The sequence below is a fragment of the Homo sapiens genome, chromosome X (assembly GCF_000001405.40).
Source record: "Homo sapiens chromosome X, GRCh38.p14 Primary Assembly".
Classification (NCBI taxonomy): Eukaryota; Metazoa; Chordata; class Mammalia; order Primates; family Hominidae; genus Homo; species Homo sapiens.
The window spans coordinates 3,633,269-3,656,933 of record NC_000023.11 but is presented as its reverse complement, the minus strand read 5'-3'; the positions used below and the strand labels follow the sequence as shown (position 1 = coordinate 3,656,933).

Below are 23,665 nucleotides of genomic sequence, written 5' to 3'. Positions count from 1 at the left end.
GAAGGGCCCTTCCCTCAGGAATGGGCCCTTACCACGCAGTTCATCAGCAGGCGCCCCGACCTCGGACTTCCAGCCTCCAGAACTGAGGGTAATACATTTTTCTTATTTGTAAGACCCCCTAGTATATGGTATTTTTGTGATAGCAGCCAGAATGGACTAAGACAACATCTATGTAACATCTGTGGAACTTGTACTTTAATGTCCATCTATATGCTTATCCCAGTATCTGATTATACACCTCTTAACATCTACACACGTCTTAGCATCTACCTATACTGATGAATTACACCTTTCTATATGCAGACCTCAGCACCTGTCTATACCTGTAGAGTCACATCTACACACACGCATATCCTAACATCTGTCTGTATGCACACCTTAGCATCTGTCTATCACATATATTAGCATCTATCTACACCTACATATTAACATCTACTTCCACCCATATCCTAATATCTGTCTGCACCCACAGAGCAACACCGGTCTACACGTCTATACCCATATCCTAACATCTCTCTATACCTCTGTTAATATCTATCTACGTTCATATTCTAACATCTGTCTTTACGTGTATATTAACATCTCTCTACACCCATATCCTACTATCCATCTACACCCATATTGTAACATCTGTCTCTTCCTATATGTTAACATCTCTCTACACCCATATTCTAACATCTATGTCCATATATTAACCTCTGTCTACACCCGTATCCTGACATCCATCTACACCCATATTGTAACATCTATACGTATAGATATCATCTGTCTTCACCTATATTGTAACATTGATCTCTATCCATATTCTAACGTCTGCCTACATCCATATCCTAACATCTATACCTACATATTAACATCTGTCTACACCTATATTCCAACATTTATCTATCTGTATTTTATTTGTCTATGCCCATACATTAACACCTGTCTACACCCATAATCTAACATCCATCTGCACCCATATACTAACACCTGTCTACATCCATCTACACCCATATATTAATACCTGTCTACATCCATCTACACCCATATCCTAACATCTCTCTATACCTACATATTAACATCTGTCTACACCTGTATTCCAACACTTATCCATATCCATATTGTAATATCTGTCTGCAACCATATCCTAACATCTATCTATAACTACATATTAACATCTTTCTATACCTATATGCTAACATATATCTATATCCATATTTAATACCATATGGTAACACTGTTTACACCCATGTATCAGCCCCGATGTACACCCATATCCTAACATCTGTCTCTAAGCACATCGTAACATCTGTATGTACGTGCATTCGAACACCTATCTGTACCCATATATTAACATCCGTCTTTACCCATGTGCTGATATCTGTGTGCTCCATGTCCCGACATCTGTCCCCAGCTATTACTGTCTGTCTGTACACACATTTTGGTATCTAGCTGCATCTGTACCCCAACACCTAGCTGACGGCGTACCCCCTGCCCTGCCTTGGCGGGGCCCTGAGCATGTGCTGTCTGTCCCCGCAGGTTCTGGACGTGGCATGACGAGCGCTTCCTCTACATGCTCATGGAGTACGTGCCGGGCGGCGAGCTCTTCAGCTACCTGCGCAACCGGGGGCGCTTCTCCAGCACCACGGGGCTCTTCTACTCTGCAGAGATCATCTGTGCCATCGAGTACCTGCACTCCAAAGAGATCGTCTACAGGGACTTGAAGCCAGAGAACATCCTGCTGGATAGGGATGGCCACATTAAGCTCACGGACTTTGGGTTCGCCAAGAAGCTGGTAGACAGGTAAGAGGAACGTGAACTCCGATGGAATCTACACTGCTTGGCAATGAGAAAGGTGGTGGTAGTTGTGGCAGGTCAGGCAGGGAAAGATTGGGAACCAGAGTTTAACTCTCATGTGTAGGAGACACTTGCAACCAGGGATGAGAGAGCCAGGTTGACCCACAGCTCGTTTTAGGTGGGCTGCGATTGCTGGCAAAGAGCCAGTGGGCAGGAAGTCAGTCTCCTTCACTGGCACCGTGGAGGAAATCAGAACACCACATATCCGCTATTGATCCGAAATGATGAGGAAATGAGTCATATCCAAGTTTGAATTGCCCTGACTATAAAATAGATCTGCATCGAATAGGATACAATATCTCTTAAAATTAAATGCCAGGTGCTGTGGCTCACACCTGTAATCCCAGCACTTTGGGACGCCGAGGTGGGAGAATCATTTGAGCCCAGGAGTTTGAGACCACTGTGGACAACCTAGTGAGACCCCGTCTCTACAGAAATATATATATTTAAAAAAAAGTTGATTATGGTGGTGGATCCCTGTAGTCCCAGCTACTTAGGAGGCTGAGGTTGGAGGATTATTTGAGCCCCGGAAGTTGAGGCTGCAGTGAGCTGTGATTATACCACTGCACTCCAGCCTGGGTAAAAGAGCAAGATCCTATCTCAAAAAAAAACAAAACAAAAAAAAAAAAAAAAAAAACCAAATTGAATATTCCATACACACCTGCTCACACACACGTGCACTTATTTTTTTCTGTTATCTGTATTTCTATTATGTATATATATATTTCCACTATATATGTATATTAAATAGAAATATATATAATACTATATTATTGTATATAACATATAGTATATTTTATGTACATATGATATAGTATTATATATGTATAGTATATATTATACTATATATTATATAGTATACAATGACTATGATATAGTATCATATAGGTATACTATATATTATAATATATAATATATATTATATAGCATACCTATATCATACTATATCATACATATCACTATACTCTATATAGTATATATTATACGTATTATATATTACACATACTACATATATATATTATATAGTATATTATACTATATAATATATATAATATATATATTACATAGTATATAATATATATAGTATATATCACATAGTATATAATATATATAATATATATATCACATAGTATATAATATATATTATATATATCACATAGTATATAATATATATTATATATATCACATAGTATATAATATATATAATATATATATCACATAGTATATAATATATAATATATATATCACATAGTATATAATATATAATATATATATCACATAGTATATAATATATATTATATATATCACATAGTATATAATATATATTATATATATCACATAGTATATTATATATATTATATATATCACATAGTATATTATATATATTATATATATCACATAGTATATTATATATATTATATATATCACATAGTATATTATATATAATATATATATTACATAGTATATTATATATAATATATATATTACATAGTATATAATATATATAGTATACCTATATCATACTATATGACATGTATGATATATGTGTTTCTTTTCTGGAAACACACAGACATACCCCAAAACAGTGTTTGAACAAACATCTGGGCACCCCACGGCCCATCAACACATGAAACAAACCATTACATGTCGTCTCAGCCAGTGCGGGCTGCACTAACACACACTCATAGACTGGGCAGCCTCAACAGCAGACATTCATGGCTCACAGCTCTGGAGGCTGGAAGTCCGAGATCGAGGTGCGACAGATTCTGTACCTGGAGGGAACCAGCTTCCTGGTTCGTAGACGGCGCCTTCTCGCTGTGTCCTCACATGGTGGAAGGGGCGAGGGGGCTCTCTGGGGCCCCTTTTGTAAGGGCACTCATCCCATTCATGAGACTCCACCTTCGTGACCTCATCACCTCCCAAAGGCCCCACCTCCTAATCCTATCACTTTGGGGATGATGATTTCAACATAGGAATTTTGGCGGGGGGCACATACATTCAGCTTATAATACATGTATATGTATTTTTTTTTCCATGATTGGATTCATTTAACCAGTCTGTCTTGACAAAAGACCACACACTGGGCATTTTAAAGAATAGACCTTTTCCTCTCACTGTCATGGAGGCTAAGGTCTGAGATCCAGGTGTGGGCAGGGCTGGTTCCTCCTGAAGCCTCTCTCCTTGGCTTGGAGACGCTGTCTCCTCCCTGTGTCCTCACAGGATTGTCCTCTGTGCATGTCTGTATCCTCATCTCCTCTTCTTATGAGGACACCAGTCCTCTTGGATCAGGACCCACCCTAGTGACCTCGTTTTACCTTAATGACCTCTTTAAAGATGCTCTTTCCCATATAGTCACATTCTGAAGTTCTGGGGGTTAGGACTGCAGCATATAAGGTTTAAGGGATACATTTCAGCCTGGAACAAGTATATATAGATATGTTTCCGTACACACACATACTCCATTGAGGAGAAAACAGTTATCCTTTTTTGTTTGTTTTTTTGTTTTTTTTTGGGACGAAGTCTCGCTCTGTCGTCCAGGCTGGAGTGCAGTGGCACAATCTCGGCTCACTGCAACCTCCGCCTCCCAGATTCAAGTGATTCTCCTGCCTCAGCCTCCCAAGTAGCTGGGATTACAGGTGCCCGCCACCAGGCCTAGCTAACTTTTTTTTTTTTTTTTGAGATGGAGTCTGGCTCTGTCGCCCAGGCTGGAGTATAGTGGCATGATCTCAGCTCACTGCAAGCTCTGCCTCCCGAGTTCACGCCATTCTCCTGCCTCAGCCCCCCAAGTAGCTGGGACTACGGGCGCCCGCCACCACGCCCGGCTAATTTTTTGTATTTTTAGTAGAGACGGGATTTCACTGTGTTAGCCAGGATGGTCTCAATCTCCTGACCTTGTGATGCGCCCACCTTGGCATCCCAAAGTGCTAGGATTACAGGTGTGAGCCACCGCACCCGGCCCCAGTATGTAGTCTTTTATCTCTCACCCACCTCCCACCCTTTACCCCAAGTCCTTGAAGTCCGTTGTATGGTTCTTATGCCTCAGCGTCCTCATAGCTTAGCTCCCAATGGATCTTTAATTTACATTCATAAAATCAACAGTCATAAAAAGTAAATTCACACGCCCAAGCTGCTGAAAAATACTCAGAAAGATTTTTGGTAACTACACTGAGTGTCAGTTTTTCAATTAGATTAAATTAATGAAAGTAGAATTAGATAATGACATCCGTTCCTTGGTAGACAAGCTACATTTCAAATACCCAGGATTGCACATGGCTATCGGCTTCTGTCTTGGTCAGACAAGCCTAGAAAATACATTTTATATTTCCATATTCTTTGATGTGGTGGGGTTGGGTAAGGTGATAATTACACTAATTATACTCCTAACATTGTAAAACCGTCTGCATTTTGAGAAACTTGATGTGGGGGCAGTTTTACACTAAATGACTCTCTTCTCTGGCAGCTTTTAGAAAAGGGCTCTCCTAGGAAAATTTTATGATGCGTTTACATTCAATCTGATTTTCCCCTATAGTATTTCTTGTACTACATTTCCAAAAATAAGGCACATGGAAATTAGGTGCATTTTACATGGAGTAGGAAAGATGCAGGATTTTTTAAAATATTGATTTATAGCATCTGTGCTGCCCTCTCTTGGCAGCACACGGTATATTAGTAAATTCTTTTAAAGTCATTTTATTTGCAAGTCTAATTCAAAGAAAACAGATAAAATATTTCATATATTCACTTGTTTATAAGTTTGACAAACCATGTTACTGTCCAGTTAATTCATCATATCTATTTAAATGGACGAAAATGGTTTCGTATATAACATGCAGCAATTATTTTACTTAATGAACATGTGAAAATCTTAGAAAATGTCTCATTACCATATTGATAGATTGCTTTTGCAAAGAACTGCATCTTCCTCTGTATGGGTAGTGTAGCTTCTGGAAACTTTTTTTTTGTGGGGGCTTTTTTCTCCTTTTTTTTTTTGACCATCATTGTAACGAAGCATCTCTCTGCTGGCCCGGCCCCAGGGAAGTTGTGTTCATGGGGGCAGATACATGGCCCTGCCTCTGATTCAGGATTCAAACAGTACCTGTGCCTTTTGAATAAAACTGAAATTCACCACTGTATCGTGGACCACTACAGAATAGATGGAACTAAACAGGGAGGCCTCATCTTGAATAATTTTTTTTTTTTTTTTTTTTTTTTTTTAAAGACAGGGTCTTACTCTGTCACTCAGGCTGGAGTGCAGTGGTGGGATCTTGGCTCACTGCAACCTTGGCCTCCTGGGCTCAAGCGATCCTCCCATTTCAGCCTCCCAAGTAGCTGGGATTACAGGCATGTACCACCACACCTGGCTAATTTTTGTATTTTTAGTAGAGACCTGGTTTCACCATGTTGCCTAGGCTGGTCTTGAACAGCTGGCCTCAAGTGATCCACCTGCCGCGACCTTCCAAAGCATTGGGATTACAGGCGTGAGCCACCGTGCCCGGCCTTGAATAACATTTTTGAACATATCCCAGAAAGAAGTCTGTTTCTCATTTTTCTCTCTTTTTTTTTTTTTTTTTTTTGGAGAGGAGTCTCGCTCTGTCGCCCAGGCTGGAGTGCAGTGGTGCGATCTCGGCTCACTGCAAGCTCTGCCTCCCGGGTTCACGCCATTCTCCTGCCTCAGCCTCCCAAGTAGCTGGGACTACAGGCGCCCACCACCACGCCCGGCTAATTTTTTGTGTTTTTAGTAGAGACGGGGTTTCACTGTGTTAGCCAGGATGGTCTCGATCTCCTGACCTCGTGATCCGCCCGCCTCGGCCTCCCAGAGTGCTGGGATTACAGGCGTGAGCCACCGTGCCCCGCCATTTTTCTCTTATAGCATGGGGTAAAAACATACTTAAGCATGTTGTAATGTAATCTACTCACTACATGAATTTCTTTCTTTGTTTTTTGTTTCTTTTTTGAGACAGGGTCTCACTCTGTCACCCAGGCTGGAGTGCAGTAGTGCAACCATGGCTCACCACAGCCTCGAACTTGCAGGCTCAAGCAATCCTCCTGTCTCTCAGCCTCCCAAGTAGCTGCAACTACAGGCTTGCACACCCTGCCTGGCTAATTTTTGGATTTTTTGTAGAGACGGGGTTTCACTATGTTGCCAGGGCTGGTCTTGAACTCCTAAACTGAAGCAGTCCTCCAACCTTGGCCCCCCAAAGTTTTGGGATTACAGGCGGGAGCTACGGTACTCAGCCTCTCCCTCCCTTCCTTCCTTCCTTCCTCCCTCCCTCCCTCCCTCCCTCCTTTCCTCTCCCTCCCCTCCCTCCCTTCCTTCCTCCCCTCCCCTCCCCTCCCATTCCTTCCCCTTCCCTCCCCTCCCATTCTTTCCCCTTCCCTCCCCTCCCATTCCTTCCCCTTCCCTCCCCTCCCATTCCTTCGCCTCCCCTCCCCTCCTCTATCCTCCCCTCCCCTCCCCTCGCCTCCTCTAACCCTCCCCTCCCCTCCCCTCCCCTCCCCTCCCCTAGCAACCCTGTTAACTGGATGACTTGTACCCTACTTATTTTAAACCACTGCTCTTGGTGACTTGATTTCTGACTTTCCTAGGTTGTCAGTATGTTCAGATGGTGTTCTTTTGTGACTTGCGTTCACCAGGCTCTTGTTTTCTAACAGCAATATTACGTTTGTATTGTAAATATTTTGCACACACACTTTATGTTATCTAGATAGCTCCCCTAAAAGATTTGGTGGCAAACTAGAATTATTTCTGGTTTTATGAAATGGTCAAAATAAAATACTGATGTGTTTAATTTGATTTTATAATTCAAATGCATAACACAAGCATCCCTTACCTGAAATACTTCAGACCAGAATTGTTTTGGATTTTAGATTTTTTTCAGATTGTGGAATATTTGAATTACACTTACCTGTGAGCATCCCTAATTTGAAAATCTGAAATCCAAGATGCTCCAGTGAGGATTTCCTTTGCGCTGTGAGCCTCATGTCGGTGCTGGAAAAGTATTGACTTTTGGAGCATTTGGGATTTCAGATTTGGATTAAAGATGCTCAACCTTTATACATCTGTCTTTAAACCATAACAGATGGTTTTCTTTCTCTGCAACAGCTCTTTTTTGTTTGTTTTTGGTGTTTTTTATTTCTCTGCGACAGCTTTTTGTTTGTTTGTGTTTTTTTGTGTTTCTTTTGAGACAGGGTCCCACTATGTTGGCCAGGATAGTCTTGAACTCCTGGCCTCAAGCAATCCTTCCACCTCGGCCTCCCAAAGTGCCAGGATGGTAGCCGTGAGCCACCATGCCAGGTGCAACAGCTCTTTCCTAGTTCCTCTGTTGTAGCATTTTAAATCCAGATGTTACATTGATTACTGTCCTCTGGATTTTTATTTCTAGCCTTATAGGGATAACATTGAACCTAGTCTTTCAAAATTACTACTTACCCCTTTCACACACACACACACACACACACACACACACACACACACACACACACACACAGGAGTAGAGAGAGTAATTCACATTGAAACCTTATGGCCCCATCACCCAGCTTCGATTGTTATCAAAGCTTTGTCACTTTGTTTTTTTTCTCTTTGCCCATTTGTTTCTTGAGTTATTTTAAAGCAGGTGCACTTTATCCTATCTTTAACAGATAACTCCCTTTAAAAAAGAACTTCAGTGCCATTATCACATCTGACAACTATTTAAAAAAAAAAAACCCAGCCTGGGTAACATAGCAAGACCTCATCTCTACAAAACATCAAAAACAAAAAAATTAGCCTTGCATAGGTTAAATCCAGCCCCCTATGTGTCTGTTAATAAAGTTTTATTGGAACACAGTCACATCTTGGGGGCTTTTGAGCTACCGTAGCAGAGCTGGATATTTGTAACAGAGACCATGTGATTCACAAGGCCTAAAATATTTGCCGTCTGGCTCTTTACAGAAAATATTTGCCCACCCCTGAGCCAGGCCATTTGCTTTGTGAACTGGTTAAAATTGGCCAGGAGCTCTGTCTGTGCAGTGGAATATTATTTGGCCTTGAAAAGGAATATAATTCTGACACATTCTACGCGTTGATAAACCTTGAAAACATGATATTGGACGAAATAAGCCAGACCAAAAAGGTCTCATGTCGTGTGATTCTACTTGTAGGAGGGCCCTAGATTCTTCCAAATCATAAGGACAGAAAGTAGAATGGTGGGTGCCAGGGGCCGGGGAGGTGCAGGGAAGGGGAAGATGCTGTTTAATGAGGATGGAGTTTCTGTTTGGAATGATGAAGAAGTTCCAGCAGTGGACGGTAGGGAGGGTTGAACACGAAGGTCAGTGGACTTCCCACCACCGAACTATACAATTAAAAATGCTTAAAATGGAAAATTCTATGCTGTGTGTATTTTACCACATTAGAAAATCATACATATAAAATCATAATTATGTATATAATTATAAATAACTATATAATTGTAATATTTACACATAAATAATATATCCGACATTAAATTTATATATTTAAATATATTTATCTCTTTAATATATTAAATATTTTAGTATATTCATATATAAATTTAATACATAAAGATATTAATGTAATGTGTTAATTACTAATATAACAATGTATGTATATATTAATATACTAATATATTCTAATTATAATTATATATTAAATATGTAATTTTTAGTTAAACATAATTATATTTAAAAAATAATTTAATACAATTAAATATATAATAAATGGATACAGTTTTATATTTAATATTACATATTTAATTTTATAAACATGGCTACCAAATAATTATATGTGCTCATAAATTATGGTATAAATATGTTTAGAAAGTTATATGTAGCTATAATTATACATTATTATCCATAGTTTTATATATAATTTTATAAATATATATTTATTTTTAAAATTTAAATTTATATATTAGTATGTGTTACACATTTAGTGTTTAGATTATAAGTTCAAATTTAAACATATACATTTATAAATACATAATCGTTTTATATATATTTCATAACACCAGAAAAGTCTTTCTAGTTACTTTAGACCTTTTCCCCTAGCTTCTTACTTTGAGTATTTAACGGAAGTCAAGGAGGGCCTGAGATGTCGAGTCTGTTTGCAGTCGGTGTTGTTACTTTCCCTTGAGCCCCTTTTAATTTTGCTGTAGTTCATACTAGGACGTGGGTATTACTGTGCCGAGGTTGGTGACAGGCACCCTTCTCCCTGCTGATCAGTGGTGCCTAGGAGCCATTGTCACCGAGGAAACCCCTCCCAGGGCCTGGGCTGGCCATCGGAAGCTGTCCCATGCTCGCAAACACACACCTTCTCCCTTCACGGGCCTGAAATTCTCAACTGTTTGTCCCCATCAGACAGTTCTAGGAACTGTGATTGTGTCCCCATAAAAAAAAAGATGACAAAATCTTCCCTTTTTATGAAAAACCCCACACCCTGCTGCTTTATTGCAACCCAAGATCCTATAAGAAAAGGCAATGTAGTATTTTCACCATGAGTACTGAGCGAACATCTATTTCCTGCATTACCAAACCCAGACAAAACACTGGCTCATACTTTTCTGATAAAAAGGGAAAAAATGCATTTGTATCTGTAATCAAGTGTAAAAGCTGTAATCAGCTGTCCTTCCTCCTGAGCCCTACCATGCCCCTGTTAGCTGAGTGACATGCTCACCATGTCATAAAGCCATGAGGAGAGACAGAAAGTGAGGCTGGTGACGCCACCTGCTAGGACGTAAGAGGGACTGGACTGAAACTCAGCTTGGAGATGTCATCCGTTTCTCTCTGTCTCTCTCTCTTTTTTTTTGAGACGGAGTCTCACTCTGTTGCCCAGGCTGGAGTGCAGTGGTGCGATCTCGGCTCACTGCAACCTCTGCCACCCAGGTTCAAGTGATTCTCCTGCCTCAGCCTCCGGAGTAGCTGGGATTACAGGTGCCTGCCACCGCGCCCAGCTGATTTTTGTAGTTTTTAGTAGAGACAGGGTTTCACCATCTTGGCCAGGCTGGTCTTGAACTCCTGTTCATGATCCACTTGCCTCGGCCTCCCAAAGTGTTGGGATTATAGGCATGAACCACCGTGCCTGGCCTCTTTTTCTCTTTTTATTGTGGTAAAATACACTTAAAATGTACCATCGTAACCATCTTTATTAACATTTTTTATGTTTCAGAATAGGGTCTTCCTCTGTCAGCCAGGCTGGAGTGCAGTGGTACGATCATGGCTCACTGCAGCTTCCAATGCCTGGGCTGAAGCAATCCTCCTCCCTCAGCCTCCTGAGTACTTGAGACTAGAGGTGTGAGCCACCATGACTGGCTAACTTTGAAATATTTTTGTACAGACAGGGTCTTGCTATGTTGCCTTGGCTGGTCTGGAACTCTGAGGCTCAAGTGATCCTCCCACCTTGGCCTCCCAAAGCGTTGAGATTATAGGCATGAGCCACTGTACCCAGCCTGTTTGAACCATCTTGCCGTGCACAATTGAGTGGCATTTATTGCATTTACCATGTCGTGCAACCATCACCTCTCTCTAGTTCCAGAACATTTTCACGATCCCAAAAGAGAACTTGTATCTGTTAAGCAATTATTCCCCATCCTAAGCCAGGATGATCTCATCTTAACTTGATTGCAGCTACAAAGATCGTGTTTGCACATAAGGTCCCACTCACAAATACTGGGGTTTAGGACTTTGGGGGGTGCACAGTTCAACCAGTGCAGGTGTGGCGGAAGGCGTGGGCATTAAGAACACAGGAGTCATTGGATATCTATACTTTATAGATAATCCTATCCTTAGCTCTGTTTCTCCTTCGTTAACATGGCCTCCTCCCTCCCCTCCCCCCGGCCATAGTGAAACTAAGAACAGTGAGAAAACTGAGAACAGCAGGTGTCACCTTCCTTCTACCCAAAAGCCAGGTGAGCAAAAGGAGACAGGAGCAGGGAAGTGGATAATTCACTGCCCAGACCAGTGGTCTCGACATAACACTCAGGCTGTCTCATCTCATATTCATTCACGCAGTCAGCATCTCTCCATAGCAGCGTATGTCTCTCTGTACATTCAGCTAGGCGTTGGGGCTTTTTGCAGGAAGGAGTGACTCTAACAGGGCAGGAGTCCTCCTGAGGCAAGTTAGAACCTGGATACTTATACAGCCTCATACAACCTCAGGTGTGTGTCCTTACCCTAACACGGAGCCAAAAAGAGCCTCATCTTTCAAAAGGTAAGTGGAGAAGTTGCAGCTAATGCCTGTAGCATGACCTGTGGCCTCTACCTGGGCTTCATATCAGCTAAGATCTAGGCTTTTAGCTACTTTCAGGCCACTTTGGATGGGCTAGAAAGGTGGAAATACAAAACTAGCAGGCCAGTAAGTCGCTCGTCTTGCAGAATGACAGAAGTGTCGTGCATTGAAGCAGCCAGGGTGTACTTGGAGTTGATTCAACTGCTGGGCAGGGCAGGGGAGAGCGTGTTTCTAAAATAGTGCGCATTGTACTTTCCATTTGTAGACTTAATTCTAATGAGTGAGAAGCACTTAACAGGACCACAAGGTGGTCCCTGTTCCATACTTAGCTCTAACCTGCAGATAGAGAGTAAGTCCCTTCCACATGCTTCCATGGGAGGAGAACTCAATTTCTCTCCTTGTCTTCTTTCCTGGTTTCCTGATTTATATCTGCTACATCCTGCAGTAATTTTTTTTTTTTTTTTTTTTTTTTGAGACAGTGTCTTGCTCTGTTGCTCAGGCTGGAGTACAGTGACACTATCATGCTCCCTGCAGTGTTGACCTCCTGGGCTCAAGTGATCCTTCCATCTCAGCCTCCCGACTAGCTGAGACTACAAGTGCACTTCAGCACACCTGGCTTTTTTTTTTTTTTTTTTTTTGTAAAGGAGTGGTCTTGCTGTGTTGTCCAAGCTGGTCTGAAACTCCTAGCCTAAAGCAATCCTCCTGCCTCAACCTCCCAAAGTACTAGGATTACAGGTGTGAACTACCATGCCTGACCTTGTGGTACTTTTATTTCATGGATGGCCGACAGAATTTGAAATTTGGATGGCAGCCAGTTTGTTGTTATCCCAAGGGCTTACAGATTAGTGTGGAAAAGTCTGTTGTCTGGAAAGAGATGGGGTATGGAGGTGTGGTGGGGAAGGGAAGGAAAGATAACAGTAACAACATTTTGGGTGGGTTCCTGCAAGCAGGAAGCTGAGGAGCTGAAGCCAAGATACGTGCCCACACCACTGCAAACAGTGCGGACTCAGGCAAGATGTGCTGGGTATAAAATAGGCTTTGCACATGCTTGATACATTGTGCAAAGAACTTGAGAGTGGATAAACATGTATATTACCAGACTCTGTGGAACTTGTTTTTTGTTCTCTTTACATTCAACTTACAAAATAAGGGTTTCTTCTTTCATTGATCTGAGTGGTGGGAGGGAAGGGTCTTTTGCAAAGCATCTATATATTTTTTCCCTCTGAGGGTGTTGCTTCTTTCTGCCTGTCTACAGACAGGCTCCACACACCAGGGCAGCACTTGGCAGGAAGGGTGGATGTGGCCCGCATTTGTGCTACAGGTCTGAATTGCTGAAAGCCCGAAGCGACATTCTACCCAGCAGTAGAGCGCCAATGGAGTACGGCCCAGACAAGGCCCCCTCTCTGGGGTTACTGATACTCAGCTCCTTTCCAGCCCATGAGTCTTCCAGCTTCTGCTGCAGTCCTTGTTATCTTGCCCTGACTTTATTTAGCAGATTCTTCTGTAACCAAAATGCAGGTTCAGCCGCTCGCCGTTTGCAGAGTGCAATTAGCAAGAGCGAGGTCTAGTGTAAAGAAAGTGATTTTTTATTCCAGAGCTTTCTTAGGGGAAGAAGTACAGGCTTCCTGCTTGAGGCCACCCCTTTGCTTTTGGAGCACAAAGCAGGCACCTTTAAAGGAAAATGGTATGCAGGGGAGGAAGTGTATTTCTGTCTTTACACTGGTTTCCAGGGGGCAAGAAATGTTTTTTTGGGGGGTGGGGGTGTAAAGAGCCAAAGAGAACATACGTAAGCTTTGCAAACCATCCAGTCTCAGTTACAAGTACAAACCCAGCTCTTGCACCTTTTTTTTTTTTTTTTTTTTTTTTTTGAGAGAGAGTCTCACTCTGTCGCCCAGGTTGGAGTGTAAAGTGCAGTGGCGCATTCTTGGCTCACTGCAACCTCCGCCTCCTGGGTTCAAACATTTCTCCTGCCTCAGCCTCCGGAGTAGCTTGGACTATAGGCATGCATCACCATGCCTGGCTAATTTTGTATTTTTAGTAGAGATGGGGTTTCACCATGTTGGCCAGGCTGGTCTTGAACTCCTGGCCTCAAGTAATCTGCCCACCTTGGCTTCTCAAAGTGCTGGGATTATAGGTGTGAGCCACCATGCCCGGCCTAAGCGAGTTCTTGAATTATTCTTTTCACTGCCACTTTTTTTTTTGGATAAAGGATTTTCTTTTTACTTAATTTTATTTATTTATTTATTTAAAGAACTTTTAGGTTCAGGGGTACACGTGCAGGTTTGTTACATGGGTAAACTGTATGACACTTGGTGTACTGATTATTTTGTCACCTGGGTAATAAGCATCATACCTGACAGGTAGATTTTCCATCCTCATCCTTCTCCTGTGCTTCTCCTTCCAGCGGCCAGGTGTCTGCTTTTCCCCCTCTCTGTGTCTGTGTGTCCCCAGTGTTTAGCTCCCACATACAAGTGAGAACATGTGAGTCCACTTAGGAGAATGGCCTCTCCACCTCCGTCCATGTTGCTGCAGAGGACATGATCTCGTTCTTTTTCCTTTAATTAATTAATTTTATTCTTTATGATTTATACTAAGGTATAAATAACTCAAAAAAAATGAGGTTTTTTTTTGCTTCTGAGTAACAGTGGTAACAGTACCAGCAACAGGAGCAAGGATGATAAAACCAATTCTTAGCTTCCAAGCCCGTTAAGAAATGTTTCTATGGAAAGGAATCAGCGAAAACAATGTTACTGTCTTTACACATTAAAATATGTGCACAGGAGGGTAAACGGAGCGTGGTTTTACTCAACGAAGTTATTGTAACAATCAGAGCTTCTAAGGTGACTGCATTAGCCAAGCACCACTGAGTGTTGTGGGGGCCTGTCTCTGTCGCCCATATAGGACTTGGACCCTCTGTGGAACACCCGAGTACCTAGCCCCCGAAGTCATTCAGAGCAAGGGCCACGGAAGGGCCGTGGACTGGTGGGCCCTCGGCATCCTGATATTCGAGATGCTTTCGGGGTAAGTAGAGTCTCTGTAGAGAATCTTCATCTTACAGGCCAGCACCCCCTTCCCCCACCCATTCGTCCACTCGGCATTTCTGTAACCTTGAAAACAGTACGTGAGTGTCGCAAACACACAGTGTGGCTGCACACACATCTGCTGCCCTGCTGAGGTTGGCAATGTGAATTAGCAATTGAGCTTGTGTGAATAAGAGGCAAAAAACCCAAACTTGTGAAGGAACCACCCATGCATGCCCATTGAGATTTTTATATTGAAATATCCATATCTTCTTTAAATATACAATTAACATTCTGGGCTGCTCTGAAGGTAGTGAGTTATCTCAGTTGATTTTCACAGTCAGCTACAGATTGAACTCCTTGCTCTACTCTTTTCCCCCCTTATCACTTCTGCGCTTGTTTAGTCTTAAAAAGAATTTAAAAATTAAATTAAAAAATGAATCTTCTGCACAGACCCTTTCTGAAGTAACCTGCAGAGCTCAGGGGGGCACAGGTTGGGTCAAGGTAAATCAGCCAAATACAGTTCAGTGGTTTCTGGATGAACAGCTGGCAAGGAAGGCGAGAATATGTTCTTTCCTAAAACCGTATGTCTGTGGTACAGGAAAGGGGTCCCGACCCACACCCCAGCACAGGGTTCTTGGATCTCTCGCAATAAAGAATTTGGGGAAAGTCCATAAAGTGAAAGCAAGTTTATTAAGAAAGTAAAAGAATAAAAGTATGGTTACTCCTTAGGCAGAGCAGCCCTGAGGGCTGCTGTTTGGCTATTTCGATGGTTATTTCTTGACTATATGCTAAACAAGGGGTGGATTTTTCGTGAGTTTTCCGGGAAAGTGGTGGGCAATTCCTGGAGCTGAGGGTTCCTCCCCTTTTTAGAGCATACAGGGTAACATCCTGACCTTGTCATGGCATTCGTAAACTGTCATGGCCCTTGTGGGAGTGTCTTTTAGTACCTAATGCATTATAATTAATGTATAATGAGCCATGAAGACGATCAGAGGTCACTTGTCGCCATCTTGGTTTTGGTGGCATTTGGCCGGCTTTACTGCAGTCTGTTTTATCAGCAGGGTCTTTGTGACCTGTATCTTGTGCTGACCTCCTATCTTGTCCTGTGACTTAGAATGCCTTAACCGTCTGGGAGTGCAGCCCAGTAGGTCTCAGCCTCATTTTACCCGGCCCCTGTTCAGGATGGAGTTACTCTCGTTCCAACGCCTGTGATACCTGTGTTGGGTGAGATTTGGAAGTCAGGAGAGGTGCCATCCACCCTGCAACCACATAACAGAGGTCGGTCATTTGTTGGGACGTCAGCATGATTGAGTGTTCAAGTCTAGCATATGCCTGAGACAGCTCCACTATGACTAGACCAGAAACGCAAAGGAAGCACGCAACACTTGGAAACCCAGGACGTGGGCGTCATCCTCGTTCCGTTGTTAGTGCTAAGATGACACAGTAGCGTGGCACTTTTCCAGATAGGAACCTGTAGGAAGGAGTGAGCTACGTGTCAGAGGAACTGTTGCACCATGTGGCTCTGCACGAAAGGCTCTTCTCTCTGGGATGAAGACGAGAGGAAGCCCAGCCAGCGAGGGCCCAGAACACCGGTTGGGGGAGCCTCTGCCGCGCTTTGCCACAGCCGACACTCTGCCTCCTAGGTTCTCTCTTTTCCTGTTTCCTTCTTTCTTCTGCTTGCCCCTGAGTCTCAAAGACAGACACCAGCGTATCCTCTGAGTGGCCTCCATTGTCGCAAAAGCCAGATCCTCCCTCACATCTCTCTGATTCCCTGCAGGGGGTAAAGACCAGAGTTTTACTGGGGAACCTTCCCTTTCAGTTGGAAACAAAGGAGGGAAGGAAGAGAGGCATTCTCCTGCCTGGAAGGCGTGTCTAAGCCAGGTCCTGCTGGTGGGGAGCACCGAGCGCTTGTTCCTGGGGGTGTGGAGCATGTGACATTCTAACATCCACCTCAGGAAATCCAGGCAGTCGCTGACTTTGTTTGGGGAGCAGACAGGGGTCATCGTCCCATGTGCTTATCTCTGCCCTCTTTTATAAAGAAAGTGAATCCGTTAATTCCCACACTAGCTTAGGGATCAGAACGATGTTGAACAAGCACTACCAAAGAATTCCACCACAAAACCGGAGCCTGAGATGCCGCAGGAGGAGAGTGGAACCCGTAAAAACCTGTATTTCATTGTCTAGCTATCCATGTGTATTGTTTATCATCCATCCATCCATCTACCCACCTGTCTATTTATCTATGTTTATATACTTTTCCATCCATCCACCCACCTACCCCCCAACCCCTTCATCCATCCACCCACCCACCCCGTCATCCATCCACCCACCCACTCCTTCATCCATCCATGTACCCACTCCCCCACCCCCTACCCCTTCATCCATCCACCCCCCCACCCCTTCATCCATCCACCCCCACCCCTTCATCCATCCATGCACCCACCCCCCCACCCCTCTACCCCTTCATCCATCTACCACCCCACCCCTTCATCCATCCACCCCCACCCCTTCATCCATCTACCACCCCACCCCTTCATCCATCCACCCCCCGACCCCCCCACCCCTTCATCCATCCATCCATCCATCCATCCACCCACCTACCCCTTCATCCATCCACCCACCCACCCCTTCATCCATCCACCCACCTGCCCACCCACCGCTTCATCCATCCACCCACCCCTTCATCCATCCATCCATCCACCCACCCTTCCATCCATCCATCCATCCACCCACCCACCCACCCACACACCTATCCCTGTCTATCTCTATGGTCTACCTATTTTGTAAGTATGTATGTATCTGTTTATCCATTTATCCTTATCTATCATCTAAGTTGTCATTTATATATTTATATATCCATCTCTCTCCATCTCTTTATCTCTACGATCTTTTTATCTGCCTACCTACCTGTTATCTATGTATTTACCTATCATCTATCTGTCATTCATGTACCAATCTATCCATCTACTTCCTATTTATCTATGTGCCTATCCATCTATTTATCATCTGTCTTTCTATGTAACTGTTTACCTCCCTACCTATCCATCTATCAATCATCTATCTACCTATTCATCTATCTGCTTTTCTATATATCTATGTATTTATCAATCATCTACTTACCTACCTATCCCTCTATCTCTACCTTTCTGTCTATCTAGCTATCAATAATCTACCTACCTACCGGCCTGTTGGTCTTTTGAATTTTCCATTACTCTTTGCTGAGACATGCCTACAAGTCATATAGAACCAAACTTCTCAATATGCACCCTAGCCCATTATGTCCTAGGCAAACCCAAAAGGTTAAAAATAACTTAGGCATATTGATCAGCGTCCACCCAAGGAAAAGCACCACATTTTCCTTCGGTGATAACACTGACCACACGAGGGCAGCATTGCCTGAGGATCGTTGTATCCTGTAGTCTAATGGTTTTAAATAGAGTGAGGTTCGTGTGCCCCAAATTTTATTGATTCTAGGATAGAGTAGACTATTATTAGAATACAATATACTATTAGGACATAATATTGTTAGAATACAACATAGAACTATTAGACTATAGTTAAAACAATATTAGTCTCAGGGTACGCTGAAGTTAAAAATACATAAAAATAAATTTAAAAAGAATAGAATATTACACTCTTAGAATGACTGTATTCGAATTATATAAAGTTACCAGAATTGTTAATAGGCTATAACATTGGAATATTTAAATATATTAGAATACAATAGAATAGAAAATAACCTAATTGTAATGTAATAAATCATTAGGCTAATTGAAAATGAATAATTAGGCCAGGCACCATGGCTCACACCTGTAATCCCAACACTTTGGGAGGCCGAGGTGGTTGGATCACCTGAGGTCAGGAGTTCGAGACCAGCCTGGCCAAAATGGTAAAACCCCGTCTCTACTACACATACAAAAAAAAGCCAGGCATGGTGCCTGTAATCCTAGCTACTCGGGAGTCTGAGGCACGAGAATCGCTTGAACCTAGGAGGCGGGTAGGTTGCGGTGAGCCGAGATCGCACCACTGCACTCCAGCCTGGGCAACAGAGGTGAGACTCCATCTCAAAAAGAAAAAAAAAAAAAAGAAAGAAAATGAATAATTAAATTAAATGAATAACCGTCTCCCAATCAAAGCCCAGTCTGCTGACCTGTGCATTTCATGAGGCAGGGAGCTATTGATTCACAGTAAGCCTATTTTTATTTTCCTTTTTTCTAATTAGAGTCTATTTCTGGGTGAATATTGTTTTTTCAATTTCTCAGCAGCCCTGTGTCTCTTCACATGGGTGGGTGTTTTGAGAGTTACCAGCTTCGCCGACCCCAACTCTCCCAGGCATTCCTGTGCTCTTCCCCAGCTCCAGCCGGCCTGAGCTCGCCTGGACCACCCCAAGCCTTCTCAGTCTCCTGCATCCCCTCCTGCCTGCAGTACATTTTCCTGGAAGCAGCTGCAGGCATCCTGTCCACGTACCCATCAGCTGTGTCCCTATTCCCTGGGAGCCCGCTTGTTGCTTCCCGGATGACTGGAGCAGAATCGGAGGCTCGTTATCATATGAGGTTCTGAGACGGTCTGCCTGTGGGTTGTCCACCCCTCTTAGACAACAGCCTGGCCCCTCCTTGTCTTCCCACTGCTTTTTAAACGTGCCAGGAAGCCTGACCTGTCCCCCTGCCCAAAGGCTGGCTTCCTTCCTCCTTCTTTTCTTTTTCCCTTTCCTTTCCTTCCCTTTCCTTTCCTCCCTCCCTCCCTCTCTCCTTCCTTCCTCTCTCCCTCCCTCTCTCTCTCTCTCTCCTTCCTCCCTTCCCTTTCCCTTCCCTTCTTCCTTTCCTTTTCCTTTCCCCTCTCCCTCTTCCTTTCCCCTTTCCCTTTTCCCCTTTCCCCTTTTTCCTTTCCTTTCCTTTCATTTCCTTTCCTTCTTCCTTTCCTTTCTGTTCCGCCTCGCTCTGTCACCCAGGCTGGAGTGCAGTGGCACAATCTTGGCTCACTGTAACCTCTGCTTTCTTGTCTCGCTCTGTCACCCAGGCTGGACTGCAGTGGCGCAAATCTTGGTTCACTGCAACCTCTGCTTCCCAGGTTCAAGCAATTCTCCTTCCTCAGCCTCCTGAGTAGCTGGGATTACAGGTGTGCGCCACCACGCCCAGCTAATTTTTGTATTTTTAGTAGAGAGGGGGTTTCACCATATTGGCCAGGCTGGCCTCAAACTCCTGACCTCAAGTGATCCACCTGCTTCGGCCTCCCAAAGTGCTGGGGTTACAGGCGTGAGCCACCACACCCAGCCAGGGCTGGCCCTTTCTCTTCCACTGCACATGCTGCAGGCTCACCTGTCACCTGCTCCCACAGCCCTCTGGGGCCTCCCCTGTTCTCCTGGGCCATGCCCTGTCCGACCAGCCCATCTGTTTTCTTTATACTGATTAGCAGCTCTGAAACCATCTAAATTTTGTATGTGTTGACTGCCTCTGAGAGCAATGCTCCCAAGCTGCTCTCCTCACCTCCTTGAACCCAGAAACTTCTGGTGGCTGGAGGGAGGGCACTGCTGCACATACAAGTGGAGCCGGCCTGCAGTCAGAGTCTTCCTGCTCCCTTCGCAGCCTGTGTCTGCACCTTTCCTATCGCAGCTCCATTTGCTGGATTCCCACTCTTAGCAGGATCAAGTGAGACTGTGCCTTGTCTGTGTTATTGCTTTAAGTGATTATCTCAATCTTCCACTAAGCACAGGGAAAACCATCTATTTGGTAAAATCTGCCATGTGATTAGGAAGGAGATCATATCATGATGCAGATTTTATTTTCATGGAATGAGACATGTTTAGGTCAGATGAAAATTGTGTGGCACATTCTGGAACAAAATCACTCATGCACTTTCCAAGGACCCAAGCTCAGCTCCGATTTCTTCCATCCTATTCTCTTTCCTCATCCATTTCTGTGGTTTTATTCTCCCAGAGAGTTTAACTCAAGAGTCAGGTAAAGGCTGGACGTGGTGGTTCATGCCTGTCATCCCAGCACTTTGGGAGGCTGAGACAGAAGAACTGCTTAAGCCCAAGAGTTCAAGACCAGCCTGGGCAACATAGTGGGACCCCATCTCTACAAAAAATAAAAATAAAACTAGCTGGGTGTGGTTGTATGTTCCTGTAGTCCCAGCTACTCAGGAGGCTGAGGTGGGAGGATTGCTTCAGCCCAGGAAGTCGAGGCTGCAGTGAGCTGAGATTGCACCAGTGCACATCAGCTTGGGTAACAGAGCAAGACACTGTCTCAGAAAAAGAAAAAAAAAAATCAGCTAAAGCATCAAGAACAAAACACAGGGACACACAAGACATACAGCAGAGTGCAGGGTAAGAGAAAGCCCCTGGGCCATCTTGTCTTAGTTGTGACAGCAGTGATTCTCAAAGTGGCATCCCAGAGGACTATGGGGTTCCCGAAGTGTGTTTCAGCAGATGAGTGAGATCATTTTTCCAATGACAGATCTGAATAGTGATGAATTTTCTTCATAGGTGTCAACTAAGACAATACAGCATAGCAGACAGGGTGCAGAAGATCCTAGAGAAGGTGGAATTTGGCTGCAGTGGAGCCTCTTCCACGGGGAGCATTAGGCATTGCGCAGTGGTTCTCAAACATGTTGGCCTCGGGAACCCTTCAACACACAGCTCAAAGTTATTAACAACCCACAGAACTTTCATTTCTGTGTGTTACAGCTGTCCGCGCTGACTACATTTGAAATTAAAGTAGAGACTGAAATATAAACCAACAGAATACATAAATAATATATATGAGAAGTTAAATAATCAGAGGAGAACATAAATAGCATTTTTAAATGAAAAAAATGTGTAACCACACTTTCTAGAATTAAAACCATTCAGGCTGGACATGGTGGCTCACGCCTGTAATCCTAGCACTTCAGGAGGCTGAGGTGGGAGGATCACTTGAGCCCAGGAGTTGGAGGCCAGCCTGGGCAACATAGTGAGACCCCATTTCTACAAAAAATAAAATGAAATAAATAAACCAATTAGCTGAGCATGATGGTACACGCCCAGGGTCCCAGTACTTTGGGAGGCTGAGGTGGGAGGATCACTGAGGCTGGGAGGTCAACGCTGCGGTGAGCTGTGGTCTCGTCACTACACTCCAGCCTGGGTGACAGAGAGACCCTGTCTCTAAAAAGAGAGAAAACATTTGTGAGGAGGTTGGCTGTATTTTCTGGGTTTTGTGAATCTCTTTAGTGTCCAGCTTTCACAAGGGCTGCTGGCCTCTCCTCCCTCTGTCTGCAGCCTGTCTGCTGTGCTGCGTGGCACGTTGTTTAGTTGAGGCATAGGAGAAAATTCATCACTATTCTGAACTGGAGTCAGAAAAACGATCTCAGCCATCCCTAAACTGAGGTCGGGAAGCCACCCTGGGACTCCACTTTGAGGGCCACTGCTGTGATGCCCAAGTCAACGTGCCCGGGGCTATATTTTCACCCTCTACTCTGCCCCAACCCTCACACACCCCAGTGCCTGCTCCTTCCGCTTTAACTGGCCCTCAAGTTCCCCTTTCTCATCTCCCACCTCAGCCTCCCTGATTCATCTGAGGAGCACAGATTTTATATTTATTTATTAATTATTATTATTTTTTTTCTTTAGAGGGACCCCTGCTCTGTCACCCAGGCTGGAGTGTAGTGGCGCGATCTCGGCTCACTGCAACCTCTGTCTCCTGGGTTCAAGCAATTCTCCTGCCTCAGCCTGCCGAGTAGCTGGGGTTACAGGTGCGTGCCACCGTGCCTGGCTAATTTTTGTATTTTTAGTAGAGATGGGGTTTCGCCATGTTGGCCAGCCTGCTCTCAAACTCCTGACCTCGAGTGATTAACCTGCCTCAGCCTCACAAAGTGCTGAGATTACAGGTGTGAGCCACCACGCCTGGCCTAAATTTTAGTTTTTAATCTGAAGGTATCGGGACAAGGATTTTTGAGGAAGAAGTCAAGGTGGGATGAAATTCTAGTGAAATTCTAGTGACGGCTTTCTTCTTTTCTCTAAAAACCTCTGCCTTCCTTTTCTTGAATGCATTTCCAAAGCACCTGTCTTCCAAGGCCAGCCCCGGTCCTCAGAACTGGAGCAGGTAGTGTGTCAGCTGATAGTTTAGGAGGGTGTTTTTCCAGCTGAGTAGGAGGGAGAACATCAGCTCACAGCGCCCAGGGTATCTCTGCCTGCACCATCCACTTTACTGGAAGATGTAAATAGGCGGAATGGTTACATTCAAATTTTACTGGCAAATGATAGAGCTAGTGGCACAATTGGTGTAAATTTTTTTCATTTTTCTTTTTTTGTTTTTGCAGACAGTTTTGCTCTGTTGCCCAGTCAGGAGTGCAGTGGTGCAGTCACAGCTCACTGCAGCCTGGACCTCCTGGGCTCAAGCAAACCCCCACCTCCGCCTCTTGAGTAGCTGGGATGACAGGTACACGTCACTGTACCTGGCTAATTTTTTAAAATTTTTTTGTAGAGATAGGGTCTTGCTATGTTACCCAGGCTGATTTCAAATTCCTAGGCTCAAGTGATCCACCTGCCTCGGCCTCCCAAAGTGCTGGGATGACAGCCGTGAGCCACTGCATGAGCGTTTTTTTTGTT

At 43.8% G+C, this 23,665-nt stretch overlaps 1 protein-coding gene across 1 annotated transcript in view; it reads left to right on the top strand.

The window, feature by feature from the left end:
* Positions 1–23,665, top strand: part of PRKX (protein kinase cAMP-dependent X-linked catalytic subunit) — a 109,310-nt gene that overhangs the window by 56,716 nt on the left and 28,929 nt on the right. The window contains exons 3-4 of the mRNA NM_005044.5: positions 1,522–1,785; positions 14,963–15,082. Coding sequence (NP_005035.1) covers positions 1,522–1,785; positions 14,963–15,082 — 384 coding nt within the window. The remainder of the gene's footprint in view (positions 1–1,521; positions 1,786–14,962; positions 15,083–23,665) is intronic.